The 22,194-nt window shown below is 38.6% G+C and overlaps 1 protein-coding gene, 1 long non-coding RNA gene and 1 other non-coding gene across 9 annotated transcripts in view, besides 6 other annotated features; 2 read left to right on the top strand and 1 right to left on the bottom strand.

The window, feature by feature from the left end:
• The window catches only part of EPB41L4A (erythrocyte membrane protein band 4.1 like 4A), a 278,107-nt gene continuing 257,333 nt past the window's right edge, over window positions 1,421-22,194 (bottom strand). For 4 of the 7 annotated variants that reach the window (XM_047417471.1, XM_047417472.1, XM_011543533.3 and 1 more), the window contains 2 exons: window positions 5,473-5,590; window positions 2,032-3,441 (listed from right to left, as the gene is read on the bottom strand). In XM_047417471.1, the coding sequence (XP_047273427.1) occupies window positions 3,365-3,441; window positions 5,473-5,590 (195 nt within the window). In that variant the 3' untranslated portion in view covers window positions 2,032-3,364. Of the gene's footprint in view, window positions 1,934-2,031; window positions 3,473-5,472; window positions 5,591-22,194 lie in introns of those variants that run through there. The other 3 variants (XR_001742173.3, XM_011543531.4, XM_011543532.3) reach the window with 3 other exon arrangements.
• Window positions 19,985-21,184: an enhancer, noted in NCBI's record as "BRD4-independent group 4 enhancer chr5:111496090-111497289 (GRCh37/hg19 assembly coordinates)". NCBI's record gives its function as "activates an origin of replication core promoter dependent on BRD2, P300/CBP, MED14 and CDK7 cofactors, and independent of BRD4, by STARR-seq in HCT116 cells {active_cell/tissue: HCT116}" and the evidence as "EXISTENCE:reporter gene assay evidence [ECO:0000049][PMID:35650434]".
• Window positions 20,003-20,212: an enhancer, noted in NCBI's record as "active region_22905". NCBI's record gives its function as "activates an Ori minimal core promoter by ATAC-STARR-seq in GM12878 lymphoblastoid cells {active_cell/tissue: GM12878}" and the evidence as "EXISTENCE:reporter gene assay evidence [ECO:0000049][PMID:35858748]".
• Window positions 20,085-20,817: an enhancer, noted in NCBI's record as "NANOG-H3K27ac-H3K4me1 hESC enhancer chr5:111496190-111496922 (GRCh37/hg19 assembly coordinates)". NCBI's record gives its function as "activates a minimal SCP1, AML or CMV promoter by ChIP-STARR-seq in naive and primed H9 embryonic stem cells {active_cell/tissue: H9 hESC(naive and primed)}" and the evidence as "EXISTENCE:reporter gene assay evidence [ECO:0000049][PMID:30033119]".
• EPB41L4A-AS1 (EPB41L4A antisense RNA 1) lies at window positions 20,118-22,093 on the top strand. The gene is made up of 3 exons (NR_015370.2): window positions 20,118-20,887; window positions 21,295-21,367; window positions 21,743-22,093. It is a non-coding gene; the product is annotated as an EPB41L4A antisense RNA 1 (long non-coding RNA).
• Window positions 20,593-20,692: an enhancer, noted in NCBI's record as "active region_22906". NCBI's record gives its function as "activates an Ori minimal core promoter by ATAC-STARR-seq in GM12878 lymphoblastoid cells {active_cell/tissue: GM12878}" and the evidence as "EXISTENCE:reporter gene assay evidence [ECO:0000049][PMID:35858748]".
• Window positions 20,713-20,762: an enhancer, noted in NCBI's record as "active region_22907". NCBI's record gives its function as "activates an Ori minimal core promoter by ATAC-STARR-seq in GM12878 lymphoblastoid cells {active_cell/tissue: GM12878}" and the evidence as "EXISTENCE:reporter gene assay evidence [ECO:0000049][PMID:35858748]".
• Window positions 20,873-20,922: an enhancer, noted in NCBI's record as "active region_22908". NCBI's record gives its function as "activates an Ori minimal core promoter by ATAC-STARR-seq in GM12878 lymphoblastoid cells {active_cell/tissue: GM12878}" and the evidence as "EXISTENCE:reporter gene assay evidence [ECO:0000049][PMID:35858748]".
• SNORA13 (small nucleolar RNA, H/ACA box 13) lies at window positions 21,077-21,209 on the top strand. Its single transcript, NR_002922.1, has one exon. It is a non-coding gene; the product is annotated as a small nucleolar RNA, H/ACA box 13 (small nucleolar RNA).

Raw genomic sequence — 22,194 nt, forward strand, 5'->3', positions numbered from 1 at the left:
ATCTTCAACTAAACTTGAAGATAAAGGATGTAAAATTGTTTTAATGTTTGGTTACTATTCTTCCTTTTTTAAATTGCAGATTTGGAAGGAAGTCAACTACTGCAAAACTATATATATATATATATATATATATATATGCAGATTCAACAGCTCTTTCATTTGGAGTATGTGTCACATTACAGTAACTATATTATATATATATCTATATGCAGATTCAACAACCCTTTCATTCTGAGTGTGTGTAACATTACAGTAAAATTCCAAACTTTACAAAATTTTCTCTAATTGATTTAGTGCTTTGAACAAATGCAAGTTAAGTGGTTCCAATGGCTGGCATTTTCTCTATATTTATCAATAAAGTAATTGCTTCAGCTCAAACCTGTAATTTAAAAGCTTAAATTGATTAAGCAGGGTTGCCCTTCCTGAACATTTTTTTGGTCACCTTTCTGAGGCACATTTGTATCTAATAGATACTGATCTGAGGGTTTCTTTTACTTTCATTGGGTTGTTTTCCTTAATATTATAAAAAGATCTATTGTCTCAAATGGTCCATATTGAAAAGTGATTTGGGTTTATATAGAATTCTTATTCTTATGGTTAGAATTCTGTACCTTTTTGATGTTAGGGAAAGAGGTCTGCAGTTAGGTGACAACCAAATACCAAATATCAAACATGGAATATAGTAATGTCAGGTACCACAGCCCTAAGATCCTGGCTTGACTCTAGACCAAACCTTGCTGACCTAGAGGCCGAATGGCCACACTCTCTTTTCAGAGTCATCCAAGGCTAGCATGCAGATGAAGGCTAACAGAACAGAGGGGAAACTGATTCTCCAAATCCAAGATTCTGTGTGGCTCTGAACACAGAATGCACACCTTGTCTTAAAACAAATCACTTAAGAAACCTGTCAGGGAAAGTGTAATCCCAGTCTGGTCCCCACTGGTGATGAGAATACACTGCACTTCTTCCCATACCCCCATCTCATCCTGACCACCAGATTCCAAAATCAGAAACTATTCTGGTGTTTAAAGTGGCACATTTACCAAAATGATAAATAAAATGTGAACATTTAAGATATTAATGATGCTTTAAAACTATACATATCACCTTTTCCCCCAGTATTCAGCTTATAACTCATAAAACAATCTGCTTTCCTTACCAACCCATAGATATCCCTCTGCTTTTCCTCCTTTAATTCCCTGTCACTGTTTCCCTCAAACCATTTGAACACTCCCTTTTCTCATGTCTGTCTCCCAAAGGTGAGGTCCCAGTCATCTCGCCTCAAGCCAAACGATCTCTGAGATGTTCCAAAATGTTCAGTTCAGCTTGCCTTGTGTTACTTTCTGAAAGAAGTCCCTAGTCAGTTGCAGGAAGAAAGTTCCTGGCAGTTGCCTCCTTTTGTTTTCCACCATCTGTTTTATTCTGTACCCTCCTGATCTTGCTTTCTTCCCAGCAATTTGTGCATTTCAGTCACTGAATTTCATGAGATAAAGCTGCCTAGGTGACCACCCTCCTCCCCCAACAACACCGTGAGAACTATTCTAGAAGAATAAATGTAACACTCAGACTTCCAAGTGAGACATGAAAGGAGGATTTGAGCCGAATTATTTTTGTAGAAGCACAATGTGGGGCATTTGCTTAAGGAGCAATACCAGACTCTCTGTGCCTTGTCTCTCTTCCCCATATTTTACCCTTTTGAGTTTCTTTGGAGAAGGCTGGCTCTGGGATATGCACAGAGCCTTATACACTAGGTTCTAAGACTCCTCAACTTAAATAATAGCCACTTACCACTACTCCTCTCCTTCGAATCCCACGGGATGGAGTTCCACTGTCCTGCAGCTCTCTTTCTTCTGTCTGTCGACAGCTTTCTTTTTAGTGTATAGATCCTTTCATTCACCATCTTCTGGCTTCCCATTTGTCTGAAGTCAAGTTCCTGTAAGCACCATTTAAGAACTTCCTAGGTACTGCAAGTTATTTTAGCTAGTCTTCTAAAATAGCATCTGGTAATTCAAATGATACTGTGCTACAAGATGAAAATATGAACTTCATTTTATTGTGGATACAAATATGAGCAAAAATGCTTATGGGTGTGGGTCAAGAATATACTCATGGAAAGTTAATACCTTTATTACAACAAAGAACTTTTTTATAATAACTTAGAAGTCATTCAAAAGTAATCTAAGAACAGATTTATTTTAGAAACTAATTACACTGTGACATCTGGACTGCACAGATCAATCAGCAATATTAGAAAGAAGTGTTGAAAGAGAATGAGATTTTCGGTCAGAAGATTAAGGCCCAAATCCTGTCTCTGCTGCTTTCTAGCTTTATGACCTTGAGTAAGTTTCTTAACTTTTGAAGTGTATGCACATAATACCTTTCATAATAGAATAGTTGTGTTCCCATTGTTTCCATGCCTTTCTATATCCACTCTCCTTGACTTTTCAGTTCCTCTCATTAAGAATAGAGACTATTTCCTCATTCCTTGAAACTGGGCCAAGAAAATGCTTCAGAAGTAGTTGCGTGCCAGTGCCAAGAGTGAGCCATGAGAGGATTCACATGCCTCCACTCACTCATTTGGCACCTGCTTGAAACTAGCTAGGGTTAGCCTGCTGGAGAGGCAATATCCACTCTTGTGTGCCCAGGTGACCAAACTCTACACCTATGAATGAGGCCACCCTAGACTAGTAAGTCCTAGAAATCTGCCAACTTACCGCAGACTCGTTAGCAAGCCCATTTATGATCACCTGAGCCTGGTCCAGACCACAGTTACCCAACCAAGACAAAGACTTGTGAGTTAAACAAATTATTGTTTCAAGCCACTCAGTTTCAGGGCAGTTAGTCATACAGTTATAGCAAACTGATACAGGTACTACATAGGTTGTTGTGAAGATTAAATGAAAAAAATATGTAATGCACTTACTGCAGTGCCTAACATATAGTAGATTCTTAATGGATTGTTGCTACTTTTATTATCATCATACCAAAATGATCTGTTTTTATGTTAATGAAGTAATAGTTCATGACAGTGCTTTTTCTAATATTTCTTTCTGAAGGCTGTATTAGTCAGGATATAAATGACAAATACAAATCAACTTAAATTTTAAAAGGAGTGGTTCATTAGCACTGATGTCAGACAGACTGAGATCCAGACCTCAATATCACCATTTCTCCCCTATCTTCCCTGTCTCTCTTTGTGTTGGCCTCATTCTTACTATTGCAGACAGGCTTTCTCTACAAGAGATAAAGTCAGCCATCCTCAGCTATTCTTCTAGTGCCAGGAACATAGAAGCAACAGCAATTTTCCCTATTGACTCCAATATAGAAAAGTCCCAGACAAGGGCTCCAATTGGCCCAGCTTGAGTCACGTGTTAATACCTGAACCAACCACAGCAGCCAAGGAGGTGGGGCTCTCTGTCCACATCACTTCATGTGCTGACCCTGTATAAACAGGGAGAAAGCAGAGTCTGCACTGAAGACATAGAAAAGAAGGGGGAAATGTGCTCAGTTGCCAAAGACAATACTACCAGAAGCCTGGAATAATAAATTATGCTATGGCCACCCTCCAATTCACCCCTTATTATCACTGGACTGGATCTTTGGACTTGAAGCCTATAGTCCACTAAGGCAGAAAATAAACTGCCTTCAGAAACAGAATTCAGGGCTCTGTGCCTACTTTTCTCCCTATAATCATTCCTTAAAATTATTTTAACCACCCTGATATGGAGCAGCCCTGGGAATATGAGGGAAATCAACCCAATAGATATGTACTTTTAAGGAAAAGCATTTTATTATACTTAACTTCCCATTCTTTTACCAACATACAAATATTCTTATTGCACTCTCATAGAGCTTTTGGTGTTCTAGACACTGAGATTTTATTTTATTTATTTTGAGACAGTGTCTCACCCTGTTGTCCAGACTGGAGTACAGTGGTGCAATCACGGCTCACTGCAACCTTGACCTCCCAGGGCTTAGATGATCCTCCCACCTCAGTTTCCCAAGTAGCTGGGACTACAGGTGTGTGCCACCACACTCAGCTAATTTTTTGTAGAGATGAGTTTTGCCAAGTTGCCCAGGCTGGTCTTGAACTCCTGGGCCCAAGCAATCTGCCAGCCTCAACTTCTTAAACTGATGGGATTACAAGTATGAGCCACCGCGCCTGGTCTTGGTTGGATACAGAGATTTTAGAGGCTTTACTGGCCATGGCTGAATTTACACCTAATCCTCAAAGATGATATCTTTTGTGAGCTGGATCGTAGGATTGTAGAGATAGAAGAAAACCTAGAGGTCATTTATATCTAAATTGGGTGAAAGTAGCAATGACATCCCAGGTGATAGACATTGGGGCCATGGGTGTTGCAATTGTTGCTACTGCTGTTATAGTTGAATGTGTGACATAAATGTCACATGTATGAATATGTAATCTTGTGCCCATGCCCCACTTGAGGTTATAGCACCTAGAATTGAAAAGAGGGTAGTCCAGCCTGCAGGAGAAGAGGGAGGGGATCCCCTCACTCCTTTGCCATGCCACACTTTTTAATCAATGAAACCTAAGTTAACATTAACTTTGTTTAAAAAAAGTAAGTTAATTCTGGCTGTGCGTGGTGGTGACTCATGCTTGTAATCCCGGCACTTTGGGAGGCCGAGGTGGGCGTATCACTTGAGGTCAGGAGTTTGAGACCAGCCTGGCCAACATGGCGAAACCCTGTCCCTACTAAAAATACAAAAATTAGCCAGGCGTGGTGGCACAAACCTGTAATCCCAGCTACTTGGGAGGCTGAGGTGGGAGAATCACTTGAACCTGGGAGGTGGAGGTTGCAGTGAGCCAAGATCACATTGCTGCACTCCAGCCTGGGCAACAGAGTGAGGTTATATAAAGTGTGGTTCATCTTAATTTGATAACGGAGATTTTATGTAAAATCTCTTCTGCACCACCATTTTAGAGATCTTACTTGAAGTGCTGACTTGTCAATGACAGAGATACTGAAGAAACTGCTAAATGAATGCTATTTGAGATGGAGATTTTGTATTTTTATGAATCAAAATAAATAAATAAAAATAAGTTAACTCTGCTGACAGCCATTGTACACAACTGATTTATACTATCTTCACTGCCAACTACATTTCCTGTCTTCTTCAGATTTGTCACAGCTACTTATCCTGTATACATGCTATTGACTTTAGGACACATGTAGTGGCCTTTACATGTAGTCTCTTTAAAACAATTCTTGCTATACTACCAAGTTTAACCAGCCTAAGACTTAGGATCTTGATTTGACCATTTAATTTATTCTATTTAATTTCACATCATCCCAAATTTGATAAACGTGCATACAACATCCTCAACCAAATCACTGTAAAAAGAATTAAAGAAAAAGGCCAAGAACAACCCTAGACACATTCCTCCATTTGATATCAATCTATTAAATAGCTATTGAGACAATTATCAATATACATAATTACACTTACATCCCAGCCCCAATATCACTTCATCCAGAAGTGTATTATGAGAGACCTTCTGAAGTGCCTTGTTCAAACTCAGATTTCCAAGTTCTCTGCCCTTTCTAGGTCTGGAGGTCTGGACACCCTGTTAAAGAAAAAAGTTTGCTGTGACAAGTGTCAAACCCAATCTGGCTTCTCATGAAGTAGGTGCTACTGCCTCTAGGGACTACTCACCCATTCATCTGATAGGGTCTTACAGAATCGAGACCACATTCACTATTGTAGACCAAAGTTTATTGAAATTACTACTCCCCCTTTTTAGAAATGTCAAGCATCGCGATCCTCAAACTTCTGCCTTTCAGCCATTCTTGGGCTCACCATGATTTCTGGGAAGGTTTCATATTCTCAATTTCAAGTTCAGAAATATAACTCACCCATTTGACAGACTTCAGATCTCTAATGGAACAGCTGCAATTCTCTTTCAGTGGCTAAAACCAAATACTAACATTAATACATGAACAGCCCACTCATTAGAAACCCAGGTTTTGTGTTTAGTGCTGTTTGAGTAATTCTGTGTCCCACAGGAGCAGAGGATCTTCCAACGCTGTTTGCGCTCCCCAAAGACTCTTGCACCATCAAGCTAACAGCAAGGTTACTGACGGAAACAGATTTTTCTAAAAATATCCTTGGCAATGTGTGGACATGAAACACATGCCACATATATTTAGTCATAAAAATATAAAAAATTTATTTTTGTCTAGCAACTATTTATTTCCAGATGTGTGACTAAGCACAGCAACCAAATCATACCTGACTTAAAAAAAAATTAAGACCAGTCGAGCTGCCTAACCACAGAAGAAAGGTCTATTAATAATTTAACCCTCGTTGCTACTGGCAAGCTGGCTGCAGACTGAAGCACCAGCTTTATCCTCCTGGTTAGCTTAGAACATAGAGTCTGCAGTACAGGAATCTTACCACTCAAAGATGTTTCATACTTGTCTGAATTGGAATGCATAAGATGTAACCTTAACAGGTCTTTTCTATTAATTAGACGAGACTTTTATTTAAAGAAAAGCCTCACCTTGGAAAAACAAGTATGAAAAATATAAAAACCAGGTTTAAAACACCTGGAAAATGTGGTGATTCTACTCCAATATGACTATTCAGTTGTTCATTTATTCCAATTAAAGTGTAATCCTGTAATGTGTAAAGTGTAATGTGCTGCTCTAAATTAGTGTGGGTTTTGTGCTTGGCTTGTACTGCCACCTGGTGGTTTTCTACATGTAGTAACATCAGACCCAGGAATGTCTTGAATTAGTATTCATTTAGCAGTCTATTCAGTATCTCTGTCATTGACAAGTCAGCACTTCAAGTACGATCTATAAAATGGTGGTGGAGAAGAGATTTTACATAAAATCTGTGTTATCAAATTAAGACAAACCACACCTTATTTAATCACATCATTTTTATGTGAACACATTTAGCATAAAGATTAGCAAATCTGAGCCGGGTGCGGTGACTCACGCCTGTAATCCCAGCACTTTGGGAGGCCGAGGCAGGCGGATCACCTGAGGTCAGGAGTTCGAGACCAGCCTGGCCAACATAGTGAAACCCCTTCTCTACTAAAAGTACAAAAATTAGCCGGGTGTGGTGGCATGTGCCTGTGGTCTCAGCTACTTGGGAGGCTGAGGCAGTAGAATCACGAACCCGGGAGGCAAAGGCTGCAGTAAGCCAAGACTGCACCACTGCACTCCAGCCTGGGCAACAGAACGAGACTCTGTCTCAAGAAAAAAAAAAAAAAGATTAGCAAATCCATAATGAAAATTCCATAAGAGAAAAAAATTTAAGGGTAATTACACCCCCAAAATAAGAAAAAAATGAATGAAAAAGACAAGGCCTTTCCAAATATAGGCCTACCTGGCTTTTGATAAAAACAGGCCTAGCGCGGTGGCTCACGCCTGTAATGCCAGCATTACAGCATTTGAGACCAGCCTGGCCAACGTGGTGAAACCTTGTCTCTACTAAAAATACAAAAATTAGCTGGGCAAAATGGCACATGACTTTAGTCCCAGCTACTTGGGAAGCTGAGGCAGGAGAATTGCATGAACCCAGGAGGTGGAGGCTGCAGTGAGCTGAGATGGTGCCACTGCACTCCAGCCTGGGTGACAGAGTGAAAAAACAAAAATAAATTAAAAAATAAACGCAAACACCAGAAAATTGGGAGTTAAATAGTATTACTATAATATAATAGTATTACTATATAATATAATAATATAATAGTATTACTATATAATATAATAATATAATAGTATTACTATATAATATAATAATATAATAGTATTACTATATAATATAATAATATAGTTTAGTAGTATTACTATACAAAAGTAGTTTCCATAGGTTTCTTTGATATGTTTTAGAATTCATGTTTCTCTTTTGTGAAATGTCTCTTTTTGACTTTGGCTCTGATGATTTCCCAGTGTTCATATGGATAAATGTGAATATTTTAAAATTAGGGTTATATTTCTTTTAATTACATTTATTATAAGAATTTTACCAATTGATACATGGAATTTTCTTTAATTATTACTTTAGTGACAGAACAGTTTTAGATTTTCCCAAATCAAGACTACCAATTATTTTCTTATTCCATTTTTTTATTTATTTTTTAAATACATTTTATTCTGAAAGGTAATATTTGTTTTGAAAGGTAACACTTTCTCATGGTTCAAAAGGGAAGAAAAGTCTCTGTTACTTCATCATTCATTGTAACCAGTTTCTTGCCACCTCTGAGAAACAGCCATTGATTTTTATGTTTAGTAAGTTTTTTTTACAATAAAATATTTTCACTTAGCCTTTCTATCGTGATTTTTTCCATTTAATTTTTAAACTACATAGACATTATTTTGCTTTTTAATATCAAGTAAATCTCTTTTTTGTTTTTTCCAAATGGCAAATCACTGTTGCCAGCAATGTGTGTTGGATAAGTCCTCCCTCCTCTGCTGATTTGGGATATTTACTTTAAGACTAAGGTCCAGCATACACTAAGAACTGTTTCTGAGTTATATCTTCCATTTCATTGACAGGGAATGCCTGTGCAATTACCATGCTAATTTAATTATCTTGTAAAATTCAGAATATTTCATATCTAGTATTTTAAAAGGAGTTAATACTCCTTCACTACTATTTTTCTAAATTGTTCTGGGTGAATTTGTGCAGCAGCAATAGAAAAAGAATTGTTCTGGCTATTCTCATCATCTTATTATTTTAAACGAACTACTGAATATAATTTTGTCAGGTTCCCAAAGAATTAGATCAAGTTACTTTAAGAAAGAGACTCTGGCCAGGCACAGTGGCTTATGCCTGTAATCCCAGCACTTTGGGATGCTGAGACAGGAGGATCATTTGAGGTCAGGACTTGAGCCTGACCACATGATGAAACACTGTCTCTACTAAAAATACAAAAATATTAGCCAGGCGTGGTGGCACGTGCCTGTATTCCCAGCTACTTGGGAGGCTGAGGCAGGAGAATCGCGTGAACCTGGGAGGCAGAGGTTACAGTGAGCTGAGATCGCGCCACTGCACTCCAGCCTGGGCAACAGACCGAGACTCCATTTCAAAAAGAAAAAGAGAGACTTTGTGAGCACTCTAAATTATGAATTATTTTGGAAAGAATTGTTACGTTTATACATAGCTTGTTAGTTGAAAAAGCAGGATTAGTGATAAGCCCTTCTAATGTTCTTAAACTGGATAGTTTTTCAAGGAACAAATTGAAAAAACCTCAAAAGGTGCTTTGTGCCTGCAATATGGCAGTAGAGCTACGCAGAGAAATCCTATAATTCAGAACAAATAAAAATACTGGATAAAATATTTTAAAATATTGTTCTAAATGCGTGTCTGAGTTGGCTGAAAAATATGGGACGTCCTGAGAGGCCACAAATAAAAAATAACAGGAATCCAAAGCAAGTTCTGGAGCTGGGATTTGCCTGGGACATTTGCTCACCCCAGTGGCTTATTGCTTAGGCTTCATAGGGCCACTTGGGAGTTAGGAGATAAGACATGAGGCCTGTGCAAAATGTGATAGGATTATGACCCACGCATAACGTCTGTTCCCTGAAAGGTAACATCCTCAGTAAGTGAATGGAAAGGAGGGAGATCACCCTACAGAAGAGAAACAGTAGGGATGATTAGCCTATGTAGTATGAAAAATGATAAAACAGGGAGGAAAGTTTTCCTTGAAAATGACTAACACCAGCCCTCCCTCATGTAGGATGGGGTAAGAATTTACACTTATGTGTAGTCTGAGTGCTCCCAAGTCAGTGATACTCCAAGTACTCAGCAAAAACAAACATAAAGGCTTTCTAGAGGAACAGACTCAAATGGTTATCACAAATTAATTTCCAAACAACATCAGTTCACATTGAAAAAGAAAATGACAAACCCACGAGAAAATGGGCAACAAGTGACAGTCAGCTAAAACAGAGTTAGACCCTGTCAATCAGAGTATCAGAGTATTGAATAGTGTGTTTCATCTATTTCAAGACATAAAAGAGGGTGCATAACAAAAAAGCAAAAGATATCCTAAATTACCTACATCTTTGAAAAAAAACAAAGGGAACTCCTAGAAAAATAATGTATAATAACTGACATTAAAAACTCAGTATTAACAGCTGAAAAGAGAATTAGTGAGTTGGAAGATAAAGCTGAAGAAGACAAACACCAAGTCTCTGATTCAGGAATCCCAGTTAATCATAGCTAGGTTAAATAAAAAGAAACTCACATCTACTCATATTGTAATAAAATTCAGATCATCCAAGAAAAAGAGAAGAAAAGACAGATTATTTGGCAAGGAACAACCATTAGACTGACCTGTGACTTTTTCCATAAAATGTAAGGCATATTCATTTTATATATTCACTCTTATTATAGGAAGTAATAGTTTCAAAGTGCTGAGAGAATACAACCATTAATTTAAAATCATGTACCCAGCAAAATCCCTTTCAAAAATGAGAGTGAAACAAAGACATTTTCAGACAAATAAAGGCTATGAGAGTTTAGCATGAGTAGACCCTCACTAAATGAGCCTATAAGCAGTGTTTCTCAAACATTAATTTGCATATGAATCACCTGGGGGGTTTGTTAAAATATAAATTGCTATTCATTATGTCTGGGGAGGGATCTGAGATTCTGCATTTCTAATAAGCTCTCTAAGTGATGTTGATGCTGATGGTCGAAAGATTGCAATTAGAGTAGAAATATTTTCTAAAGTATATACTTCATTAAGAAAAAAATTATCTTGAATAGATGGTCTGAGATGCAGGAGAGAATGATGATCAAAGAAGTGGTAACCCGTAAAAAAAGTATTTAATGACTATAAATCGATAAGAATGTCAAATTTGTGAGTTTAAAAATATACAATAATAGAATTAAAATACTGAACAATAGCCCCTAAGTGGGGTAAAGGGTAGCTAGCATCAGACATTTCTAAGGTCCTTGTTTTTTTTTTTATTCAAGAAGAGGATAAATATATATTTATATATATTTGTATATTATTTTATTTTTATTTATTTTTGAGACAGAGTCCTGTTCTGTCGCCCCGACTGGAGTGCAGTGGTGCAATCTTAGTTCACTGCAGCCTCAACCTCCAGGGTTCAAGTGATCCTCCTGCCTCAGTCTCCAAAGTAGCTGGGACCACAGGTGTGTGCCATCACACCCAGATAATTTTTGTATTTCTTGTAGAGATGGGGTTTCACCATGTTGCCAAGGCTGGTCTCAAAATCTTGAGCTCAGGCGATCCACCTGCCTTGGCCTCCTGAAATGCTGTGATTACAGGCATGAGCCACTGCACCCAGTCCCATATTATTTTATATATTTAGTCTTTTTTTTTTTCTTTTGAGACAGAGTTTCTCTATTGTTGCTCAAACTGGAGTGCAATGGCACGATCTCAGCTCACTGCAACCTCCGCCTCCCGGATTCAAGCTATTCTCCCGCCTCAGCCTCCCTAGTAGCTGGGATTACAGGCACATGCCACCACGCCTGGCTAATTTATTGTATTTTTAGTAGAGACAGGGTTTCACCATGTTGGCCAGGCTGGTCTTGAATTCCTGACCTCAAGTGATCCGCCCACCTCAGCCTTCCAAAGTGCTGGGATTACAGGCGTGAGCCACCATTCCCAGCCATATTTAGTCTTTCTTGAGTTAGATATGCAAGTTAAAATTTGAGAATTCCTGAAAAACTATAATTTGGCTACATATAACTTCCATACTATGACAGGAGAAAAATATTAAATAAAAACAATTTTTAACAAATCCAATACAAGACCAAAATATAAAAAAAGAAAAGAGAAAAAAAAACATAGAAGAAAGAGAGATGAAATGGAAGAACAAAATAAAATGGTAGAAATTAAAACAAAGGTATAATATTTACATTAAATAAAAGTGAACCAAATATTCTAAGTAAAAGATTATAAAACAGAATCTTTTAAAAATCCAATCTTATGATATTTACATTACTGCTATGGTCTGAATGTTTATGTCCCTCCAAAATTCGTATGTTGAAATCTAACCTCCAAGGTGATGGTATCAAGAAGTGGAGCCTTTGGGTGGTGATTATGTCATGAATGGGATTAGTGCCCTTATAAAAAGGCTTGAGGGAGCCTGTTAGCCCCTTTCACATTGTAGGGATGCAGCAAGAAGGTGCCATCTGTGAGGAATGGGCCCTCACCAAACACTGTGGCACCTTAATCTCAGATTTTCCAGCCTCCAAAACTGTAAAAAATAAATTTGTGTTGTGATAAATTACCCAGTCTAAGTTACTTTGTTATAGCAGGAATGGACTAAGATGACAATGACATAGCTATACTATAAGGACACAAAAATGGAAAGTAATAGGAGGAAAAAAGATAAAGCACACTAATACACACCAATAAAAGTTCATGTGAAATCATGAAGAAAAAAATTCTCGAAGCAAAAAAAATTACCAGATTCAAAGATTACATATTAATGGAAATTTAATTATCTAGGAAGATATATCAATTGTATGAATATGGATGCAATATAATAACATAATTTCAAATATATACAGGGCCAGGTGCAGTGGCTCATGCCTGTAATCCCAGCACTTTGGGAGGCTAAGGCGGGTGGATAGCTTCAGTTCAGGAGTTCGAGACTAGCCTGGGCAACATGGTGAAACCATGTCTCTAATAAATACACAAACATTAGCCTGGCATGGTGTTGTGGGCCTGTGGTCCCAGCTACTGAGGAGGCTGAGATGGGAGGACTGCTTGATCCTGGAAGGTGGAGGTTGCAGTGAGCCGAGATCAAACCATTGCACTCCAGCCTGAGTGAAAGAATAAGATCCTGTCTCAAAAATTTAAAAAAAAAGAAAAAGAGGCCGGGCATGGTGTCTCACGCCTGTAATCCCAGCACTTTGGGAGGCCAAGGCGGGCGGATCACGAGGTCAAGAGATGGAGACCATCCTGGCCAACCAACATGGCAAAACCCCATCTCTACTAAAAATACAAAAAATTAGCCTGGCATGGTGGCATGCGCCTATAATTCCAGCTACTCGGGAGGCTGAGGCAGGAGAATTGCTTGAACCTGGGAGGCGGAGGTTGCAGTGAGCCAAGATAGCGCCACTGCACTCCAGCCAGGGCAACAGAGCAAGACTCTGTCTCAAAAAAAAAACAAAAGAAAAGAAAAAGAAAAAATATACATATATATATAGAGAGAGAGAGAGAGAGAGAGCAAAAAATGACAGAAATACAAGGAGACATTAACAAATCCATATCATAATGGGAAACCTTAAAACACACAATAGCTGATAGATCAAGCAGATTACAAATCAGTAAGGATATAGAAGATTGGAATAATATGGTTAATAAGCTAGATCCAAAGGACATATTATGGAACACAGCATACAAGTAGAGACCACAGAATATTTATAAAAAGTAACCACCTATTATGACCCAAAACAAATTTCAAAAAATCAAAATCTTATAGTTTTATTACTTATTATTTATTATTAAAAATAAATAACAAAAATATAACTTACATTCAAAAAGACTCCATACAGTGAAAATTAAAAATGTATCTCTAAATAACTCAAAAGTCAAAGAAGAAAATGCAAAAATACTTAGAAACAGATATGTAGCTGGCACACACCAATATGGCCAAGTTAATTGGTAAAACATTGAAAAACATTTAAATATATTGGGAAGTACTGTAATAATAAGTATTAGAAGAGGTAAAATTAATTAATAATGTAAGTGTGGATATAAACTGGCTAATTTAAACTACATATACAATATTGCAATCCCCAGAGACAAGTGGATCTTCCACTACTGCGGCATTAGAGAGCATTCACAACACTATCCTCCAGTTCACCTGACTCATAGTAAGCTTTCTAGCACCAGTGAATACACTCTGTACAACGCACTCAGGGCTTTACGATGATCATTAGGTTTTCATTTTGCTAAAATTATATAGTTCCCACTACTTATAAATGTATTTTTTGTACTTTGGACATATGCATGTGCACTGTAATTCTTGTGTAAGCAGTAATTGTTCAGCATTTTGATATTTAACATTCAATAATTTACGCAATGATTTTAAACATTATCTTAAAATCAAATGCCCACAATAAAGAGATAGTTTTTTCTTCAATACTCTTTTTACATATAATTTACATGACTCTTCTAAATCTCCAGGGAAATTTTAAAAGACATGATATTAATAATGAGGCACAGCATGAAAAAATTATATTGTGCAAAAATTGGAACAACATGGAATGTCCATTTTACACTGTGCAAGCATAAATAGCCCCCACAAAATTTTTTTAAATCTGAAATAAAATATAACTTAATTAACAAATGTGGAGTGATTCATCATTGCTAAAGTGACATAAATGCTGGACATAAATTGTGCTAACAGAAAAAGTAACATCAATACAGTTTAAAATACTAAATAATTACTAATAAAATTCACAATCCTCTGGCACACATTAAGAATGAAAAATAAACATACCTGAAAGAAAAGCAGAGATTTCAAAAGATAATCAGATACTGTAAGGAACAACTTCCTAACAACAAATTTAAAAATGTGCAGGAAATGTATACTTTTCTAGGAACTTTAACTTAACAAAACTGACCAAAGAACTAGAACACCTGAATGGTCCTATGTCCATTAAGGAAACTGAAATCAGTAGTTTAAAATTGTCCCACAAAGAAAATACTAGACTTAATCTTAAAAGTGGAATTTTTTAATTAAGAAAAAGAATGCTGACATTACACAAAAACTTTCAGGTAAGAGAAAAAGAGGAATAGTTCTTCAGATTACTTTATAAAGCTAGTACAGGCATATTCCACAGATTTATATTTTCCCAGAAGTTACCTCTTGTATTTAGGACCACAACATCACAAAACATATGTATCTCTCAAACAACATTTCAGATGATATTTACATAGAAAAAAATTATATTTTAGCTCCCAAAACTCAATGCAACATTTTTAGCAACAACCAAAAAAAAAAAAGTGTATCAAATGCTTTGAGATACATCACAAACACAATTAGTAATATGACAGCATCATGTGTCAGCATATCCAAAAGCATCCTGAATATCAGTGACAGGGATGTTCCACACAAATGCCACTGATGATACAAGAGGCATTACTGTATCATCCTCAGTGTGAATCATTCTCTGACACATTTCTAGAGTGACTTTCATATTTCTTCCCCACCACCACATCTTCCTCCCTAATTATAACAATGAGACTGAATAAAAGTCAAGAAAGTGTTAAAGAACTTTATAGAAAAGGAAGCAAAACAAGCAGAAAAGCAATTACAATGAAAGAAACTATATTACAGCTAACAAAGCAATTATTTGTCAACAACTATATTATTTGGGGGCCAGGAAGCAAATTTAATATAGGTTTACCATATTTTACTTACATTTTAGGAAATTAGTTTGGGTTCACAAGTAATCCATTATAATTTTGCCATTTAAAATAAAGAGAAATGGGCTCTGTTTTTGATCAGAACGTCTGATTTTCAGAAACAAATTATTAATGTTAAGTAGATATGTATATAATTTTAATATCAAATTTTTAAAACAGTATGAAAAAAATAACTATAGTCTCATCCATAAACAGAACTGCAGTAACTCTAAACAGAATACTTTTTGAAATGACAAGTTTTGTTTCTTCCAGAAATGCAAAATTGGTTTAATATCAGAAAATGTATTAATGCAATTCACCATAATAACAAAAAAAGAACCCATATGTTCATCTCAATAGAAGCAGAAAAAATAATAAAATTCAACATTCATTCTTAATTTAAAAAAAACTATTAGCAATGTAGAAATAGAAGGAAACTTCCCTAACCCAACAAACAATAAGAAAGGCATAAAAATGACACACACACCATACACACATGCTGAAACATTAGGAGTATTGGCTCATGCAATTATGGTAGCTCAGAAGTGCTAAGATGCTGTCTCTAAGCTAGGGGCCCAAGAAGGCCAGTGGTATAGCCAGAGAGCAGGTGGTGTAGATTCCAAAGGCCTGAGAACCAGGAGAACTGAGGGCAGAAGATTAACGTTCCAGCTGATAGAGTCAGGCAGACAGCAAGCGAATCCTTTCTTTATCCCGTTTTTTGTTCTATTGAGGCCCTCAAAGGATTAAGTGATGCCACCCACATTGAGGAAGTACATCTCCTTTACTCAGTTTATTGATTCAAATGCTAATCTCCTCTGGAAACATCCTCAAAGACACACCCAGAAATAATGTTTAGCTAGATGGCTGAAGATCCTGTGATCCAGAGTTGATACATAAAATCGACTATCACACATACCATTTTCATATAGATGTCAACTCTCCTTCAGTTGATCACAGATCCAATGCAATTCCAATAAAAATCCCAACAATCTTTAGATTGTGAAGTTCAGTGAAAAGATGATGAAATATGGCTTTAGCAGTACAATCCTGAAGACAAGCGTAATCAAACAATGACTACCAAAAAGGAGAAGGAGTCCAAGTGAACCAGTTCAATTCATTGAACTTTACAATCTAATTCTAAAAACTATGTGCAAGAGAAAAGGGACAGTAATAGCCAAGACTTCCCTGAAAAAGATCATGGTGTCTGCGTGGTGATATGGATGTGGGAGGGCAGGGTATTTGCCCCGAAAATATAAAGACATTATAAAAAATATAGTAATTGAGACAGCGTAATATTGACACAGGAGAGACAAATAGACCAGTAGGACAGAATAGAGAGTGCAAAGGTACATCCATGCAAAAAGAAAAAAAAAAAACAACCTGATCTATGATGATGGTGGCATGGTAGATCTGTGTAGAAAGGATGGGCTATTGATAAACCACCTTAGAGCAACTGGTTATCCCTAGAACTCACTATAAGCAAAAGTCAGCTTTATATGGATTAATTATTTTAAAATGAAATGTGCACAAGTTTGTCTGCAAAATCTCGTTTCCACTCCTAATGAGAAAATCGAGATGGGACAAGAAATGGTGGAGTAACAAATAAAGCTCACTTACTCTCTACCCCTTATAGGTTATATTAGGTTTCTCTTGCTACCATAACAAATTAACACAAATTTAGTGGCTTAAAACAACATACATTCATTATCTCACAGCTCTGTAGGACAGAAATCCCTGCTCCTTTGCTGTCAGCTGAGGGTTATTCCCAGGTACTAGAGGCTGCCCATATTCTTTGGCTTGTGGCCCCTTCCTACATCTTCAAAGCCAGCAATGGAGGGTTGAGCCCCTCTCATGTCTATTTCTCCTGCCTTCCCTTCTGCCAAATCTCTAACTCTTCTGCTACCTTCTTCCATTTTTATCCCCCTATCTCAAGGTTCCTAATATTAATCACATATGCAAAGCCCCTTCTGCTATGTAATGCACCATATTCACAGGTTCTGAGAATTAGGACATGAATATCTTTTGGGGAGAGATTATTATTCTGCCTTCCACACAGGGAAACCCAGGTTGCTTCACATTTGCACTACCACTGTGTGGCTTGAACATCCTTACACAGTGCCTCAGCCCAGCAGGCAAGGAGGAAGCAGAGACTAGGTAGAAAATATCCACTATCTTCTTCTCATGTCCTTTCTGCTTACCTGTACTTAGTAATTGGGTTTTCTGTACCAGGATTCAGGAGGCTGAAGCAGACAGGGGAGAGGAAGGATTTTGAATTGATTTCCTAAAACCTAACACTGATCCAGTAATTGGAACAAATGCCTTCCTCTGCCTAATTTTGGAAAGTTTAGGGAAGAGATACAAAGGGAAGAAGAGAAAAGAGGAAAGTGGGAGCAATAATGTAAAGCCATTAGAAGAAAAACAGCATGTTTCCCCCTTTCATAAGAACTCAATACAAGAAGGTTCCATATTTGGGGTAGGGGTAAAAGAGAGGAAATGTCTAGCTCATTTGAGTCATTTATTAGATGTCATTATGTACCACACACAATGCTACGTGATTCCACAAACCTTTCATAATTCTTTAAACTAACCCATATAGTACATGTGTGTAGTTATTACCTTTAAATGAGGAAACTCAGGCTCACAATGGTGGTCACATACCTAAGGGAACAAATATCAGAGGTAGATATAAACTAAACCTATATATGCTGGCTGCCCCAGTCCAAGAAAATTTCCTCTCTCTCACTGCATTAGTCCATTCTCATGCTGCTGCCAATCAAGACATACCCGAGACTGGATAATTTATAAAATAAAAAGGTTTAATTAACTTACAGTTTAGCATGGCTGGGGAGGCCTCAGGAAACTTACAATCATAGCGGAAGGGGAAGCAAACACATCCTTTTGCACATGGCAGCAGGAAGGTGAAGTGCCAAGCAAAGATCTGGTGAGATCTCCTGAGAACTCACTCACCATCACGAAAATAGCATGAAGGTAACCAACCCTATGATTCAATTACCTCCCACCAGCTCCCTCCCACAACACCTGGGGAGTATGGGAACTACAATTCAAAATGAGATTTGGGTGAGGACACAGCCAAAACATGTCACTGACTTTCCCTAGCAAGAAGGCAAGACTAAGGCATGTTATAATCCCCACACTGTGCCTTTCGCTGTCTTTAAAGGACAATCTTCGTGTTACTGCCTTCCTTCTGCAAACTTCCTTTTGCCCCAGATGTTACAGTGACTTCCTAATGAAGTCTGGAGTTACTTACCTTCTTGTAATAATTATACATTTACTAATTCTGTACAGTCATTTTCTCCAGATTGATTTGGTTATTATTCATGCTAGTCCTTGTGTGATGACCACTGGGCTGTGAGCCTGAATTTTCTTTTTTTTTTAAACCACTTTATTGAGGTATGATTGAGATACAAAAAGCTGTATTTAATGTATATAACTTGATGTGTTCGGAGATAAGCTCCTTTTCTTCTCTTTCCTTCTTTCTTTTATAGAAGTAGGCTTCAAAGAAACAACGAAAGGTGCTAAAACTGGTCTCTGGATGAATCTCTGCTAGGACTTAGAGAAACATGGAGACCTAGTTGTTATCATACAACTTGTCTTGCTGCCACTTGTCCTGTCCCTTCAAGGAGTTATGGTTATCAGGAAAAAAGCCAATTAACAAACTCTGCTTAATTTTTGTGGTGATAATTAATCAACTCTAAGATTTCAGCATAAAATCCCAACACCTTGCCCTGTGTGACAAGACCCTAAGTGCCTTGCTCCTGCCTGGCTCTCCAGCTGCATCTTGTCACTCTACACTCCTTACTCGACTCCAGCCACACTGGCCAAGGCCTGCTGTCTCCAGATCTTGCATAACCGCCTTCACACATCTGCTCGGAGTTCACTTCCAGTCTTCCTATTCCTAGCCCCATGAGCTACTGAACACTTGAAATGTGTCTAGTCTGAACGGAAATGTGCTGGAAGTATAAAATATACACCGGATTTTTATGACTTAGTAGATATAAAAGAAATATCTTATTAATAATCTCATATTGATTGCCTGTTGAAATATTTAAAATATGTTGGGTTATTATTAAAATTAATTTGATCTGTTTCTTTTTACTTTTTTTTTTTTTTTTTTGAGACGGAGTTTCGCCCTTTTGTCCAGGCTGGAGTCAAGTGGCATGATCTCGGCTCACCGCAACCTCCACCCCCACCCCGCCCGGGTTCAAGCCATTTCTCCTGCCTCAGCCTCCCAAGTAGCTGGGATTATAGACGCCCGCCACCAAGCCCAAGTAATTTTTGTATTTTTAGTAGAGACGGGGTTTTGCCATGTTGGCCAGGCTGGTCTTGAACTCCTGACTTCAGGTGATCACCTGCCTCAGCCTGCCAAAGTGCTGGGATTACAGGCATGAGCCACCGCGCCCGGCGTTCTTTTCACATTTTATGTGGCAATTGGAAAATTTAAAATTACACTCATGGCTCACACTGTTTCCATCGGACAGCGCTACCCTATGGCATGACCCTCTTTTGCTGCCCTCCTGGCACTTACATTGTAGAATTTCAGCATCCGGGCTCACTTGGTCAGTGGCCTACTCACCCAAGCAGAATGTACCACAGAAACCTTGCCTGGCTCACCCACACCTGATTCCCAGGCACTCAGGCCAGGGCCTGGAGCATAGTAAGTGCTGACTAAATATCTTTCGAATGAATGACTCTACTCTTCCTCAGCTGGACTCATGAATTCTGTCGGGTCCCAAAATACGTGGTCTAAAGTCCTTTGGGCTCCTGCCGCTGCCAGCACTGATCATATGCTCTTGACCCTGGTCGGGTGGGGGGATGTCTGGATACCTCCTCTGTGGAAAGAACTGGCCACACATCCGCAGAGGTGACTCGGGCTGAGAACCCAGGCTCCTCCTCCCTTTGGTGACACGCCCCTCGGTCCCTCACTGGCACTTCTCCCTCCGGCCACACGGCGGCGTCTCGCCATAGCGCAGCGGCCGATGGTACAGCCCGCTCCCCCCTCGCGCTCTCGGACAGTGGGTCCTTCCACTTGTAGAAAAGCATTGTGGGACGGAAGCCTGTCCTTTCTTCCTTTTGGTGCGAGCTTGCTGTGGTTTTTGCTCTGGGTCCTCTGGGATGGCGCCTGGCTGTGGCCGCGTGGTCTCTCACGCAGGGGCGCCGGGCGGGGGAACGCGGCCACCCTGAGTCTGGTGAGTCGACTGCGGCGGCCTGTGTCCGAAGTGTCCGGGGCCGTGAACAAGGGCAGCGGCCTGGCCTCAGGCCTGCGTTCCCACGTTTGGAAACGGGGAGCTTCGTCGATTTGTGTTTACATCATCGACTATGCCAGGGAGTTCTCCAGATAAGCCTGGTTTTATTTTCGTCAGTGAAAAGGCCTTACCGTATAACTGACTTTATGCTTGCCCTGCCCCCGTATAAAATAACTTAAAAGCAGCGTGCCTGGTTACAGCTGTTTCCACGTGCGGTGCTCGTCGGGAGTGATCACCTACCCTACAGGTGAGTTTTCACGTTCGTGCAAGACCAGTCGCCATTTAAAACGCATCGCATTTCACTTTTCATTATTAAGTCGGATTTTAAATCGTGAGAAAATTTCTCTGAAATGTATTGTCCGTTTTTAGGCTGTAATCGGCATTACTGTCAGCCAGTCAGCAACCTTATGCCATAAAGCCTACCTCACGCAGTGTCAGCCTTTGTGTTGCCCATTCACTTTGGAAACTAGTGAATGTGGTGTCAAAAAAGGCGTAAATTAAACGCTTTGCAGCCTTTTCCTGCCCTTAAATTTGATACCTTTGGTGTAGGAGCTGCATAAGTAACAGTTGCTGCTTTTACGTTTCCACGCGTGATCTTGACCCTGCTAGCCTTAAGTGTATGGTTTCTCTTAGCCAGTTCTAATTTTTGTTCAGGTGGAAGATGGATGCCTGAAGTGTAGACTGCTGCTAGCTGAATACCATCTGGGAGCATAAAGGTGACCTGAAGGTAGGGTGATATGTCTTAAAGCACTTTGTAATGGGAATTTTTATCACCTTTTAAATTGGGGTTCCTTCTCTAGTGAGTTTTAATGTCAGTGGTACATTCGTAGTGTTGCTCTGTCTGTAGCTATTAAGGTGAGTTAATAAATGGGATAGCCTCCACAGCTTATTTTTGGGAAGGTTTTGCTGATACTTCCTGAGAAGCCCAGGGAAATAAATACGCATAGTACTGGCATTCTGCATCTCTTTAAGATTTGTTTTTATGTGTAGTAATTGAGTTTTTTAAAAGCTTGTGAAATCGCAGGCATATTACCAAGTTCTTGATTAAAATGTAATACAAAAATATTTGCTGTCGAATTGAGTACTTTATTTTTTCTCTTAGGATGTCCTTGGTGAGGATTTTGAAAATTTGATCTTCACAAGAGTTGCCTGGATCATTTGAAATTTCTGGGAGTCTGAGGAGTACTGACATAATTACCTGCTGGAGTCTGTAAATACACATTTAAGACAGTGAGGATGTGAATAAATATATTAATGCACTTTGGCATTTGTGTTTTAAGTGATTAACTGCCAGAAACAGCTATTTCTAAAAAGTTATAAGGGAGGAGGGGTTCTTTTTTGATCAGTATTCACTGCTGTCACCATAATTAATAGCCTTAAAATAGCTTGTGTTTGGCCCAAAGAGAAATGTACTTTCTTCCAGTGACTCAAAAATCGTGGCTAGAACTAGACTGATTTCTAGTGACAGGTGTGCTTTACTGCACTCAATGCGTATTTTTCCTCCAACTAAATTGTACATTTAATGTTGCCATATCTTCTGCCTTTGCTTTGCAG

Source organism: Homo sapiens, chromosome 5 (genome assembly GCF_000001405.40).
Source record: "Homo sapiens chromosome 5, GRCh38.p14 Primary Assembly".
NCBI lineage: Eukaryota > Metazoa > Chordata > Mammalia > Primates > Hominidae > Homo > Homo sapiens.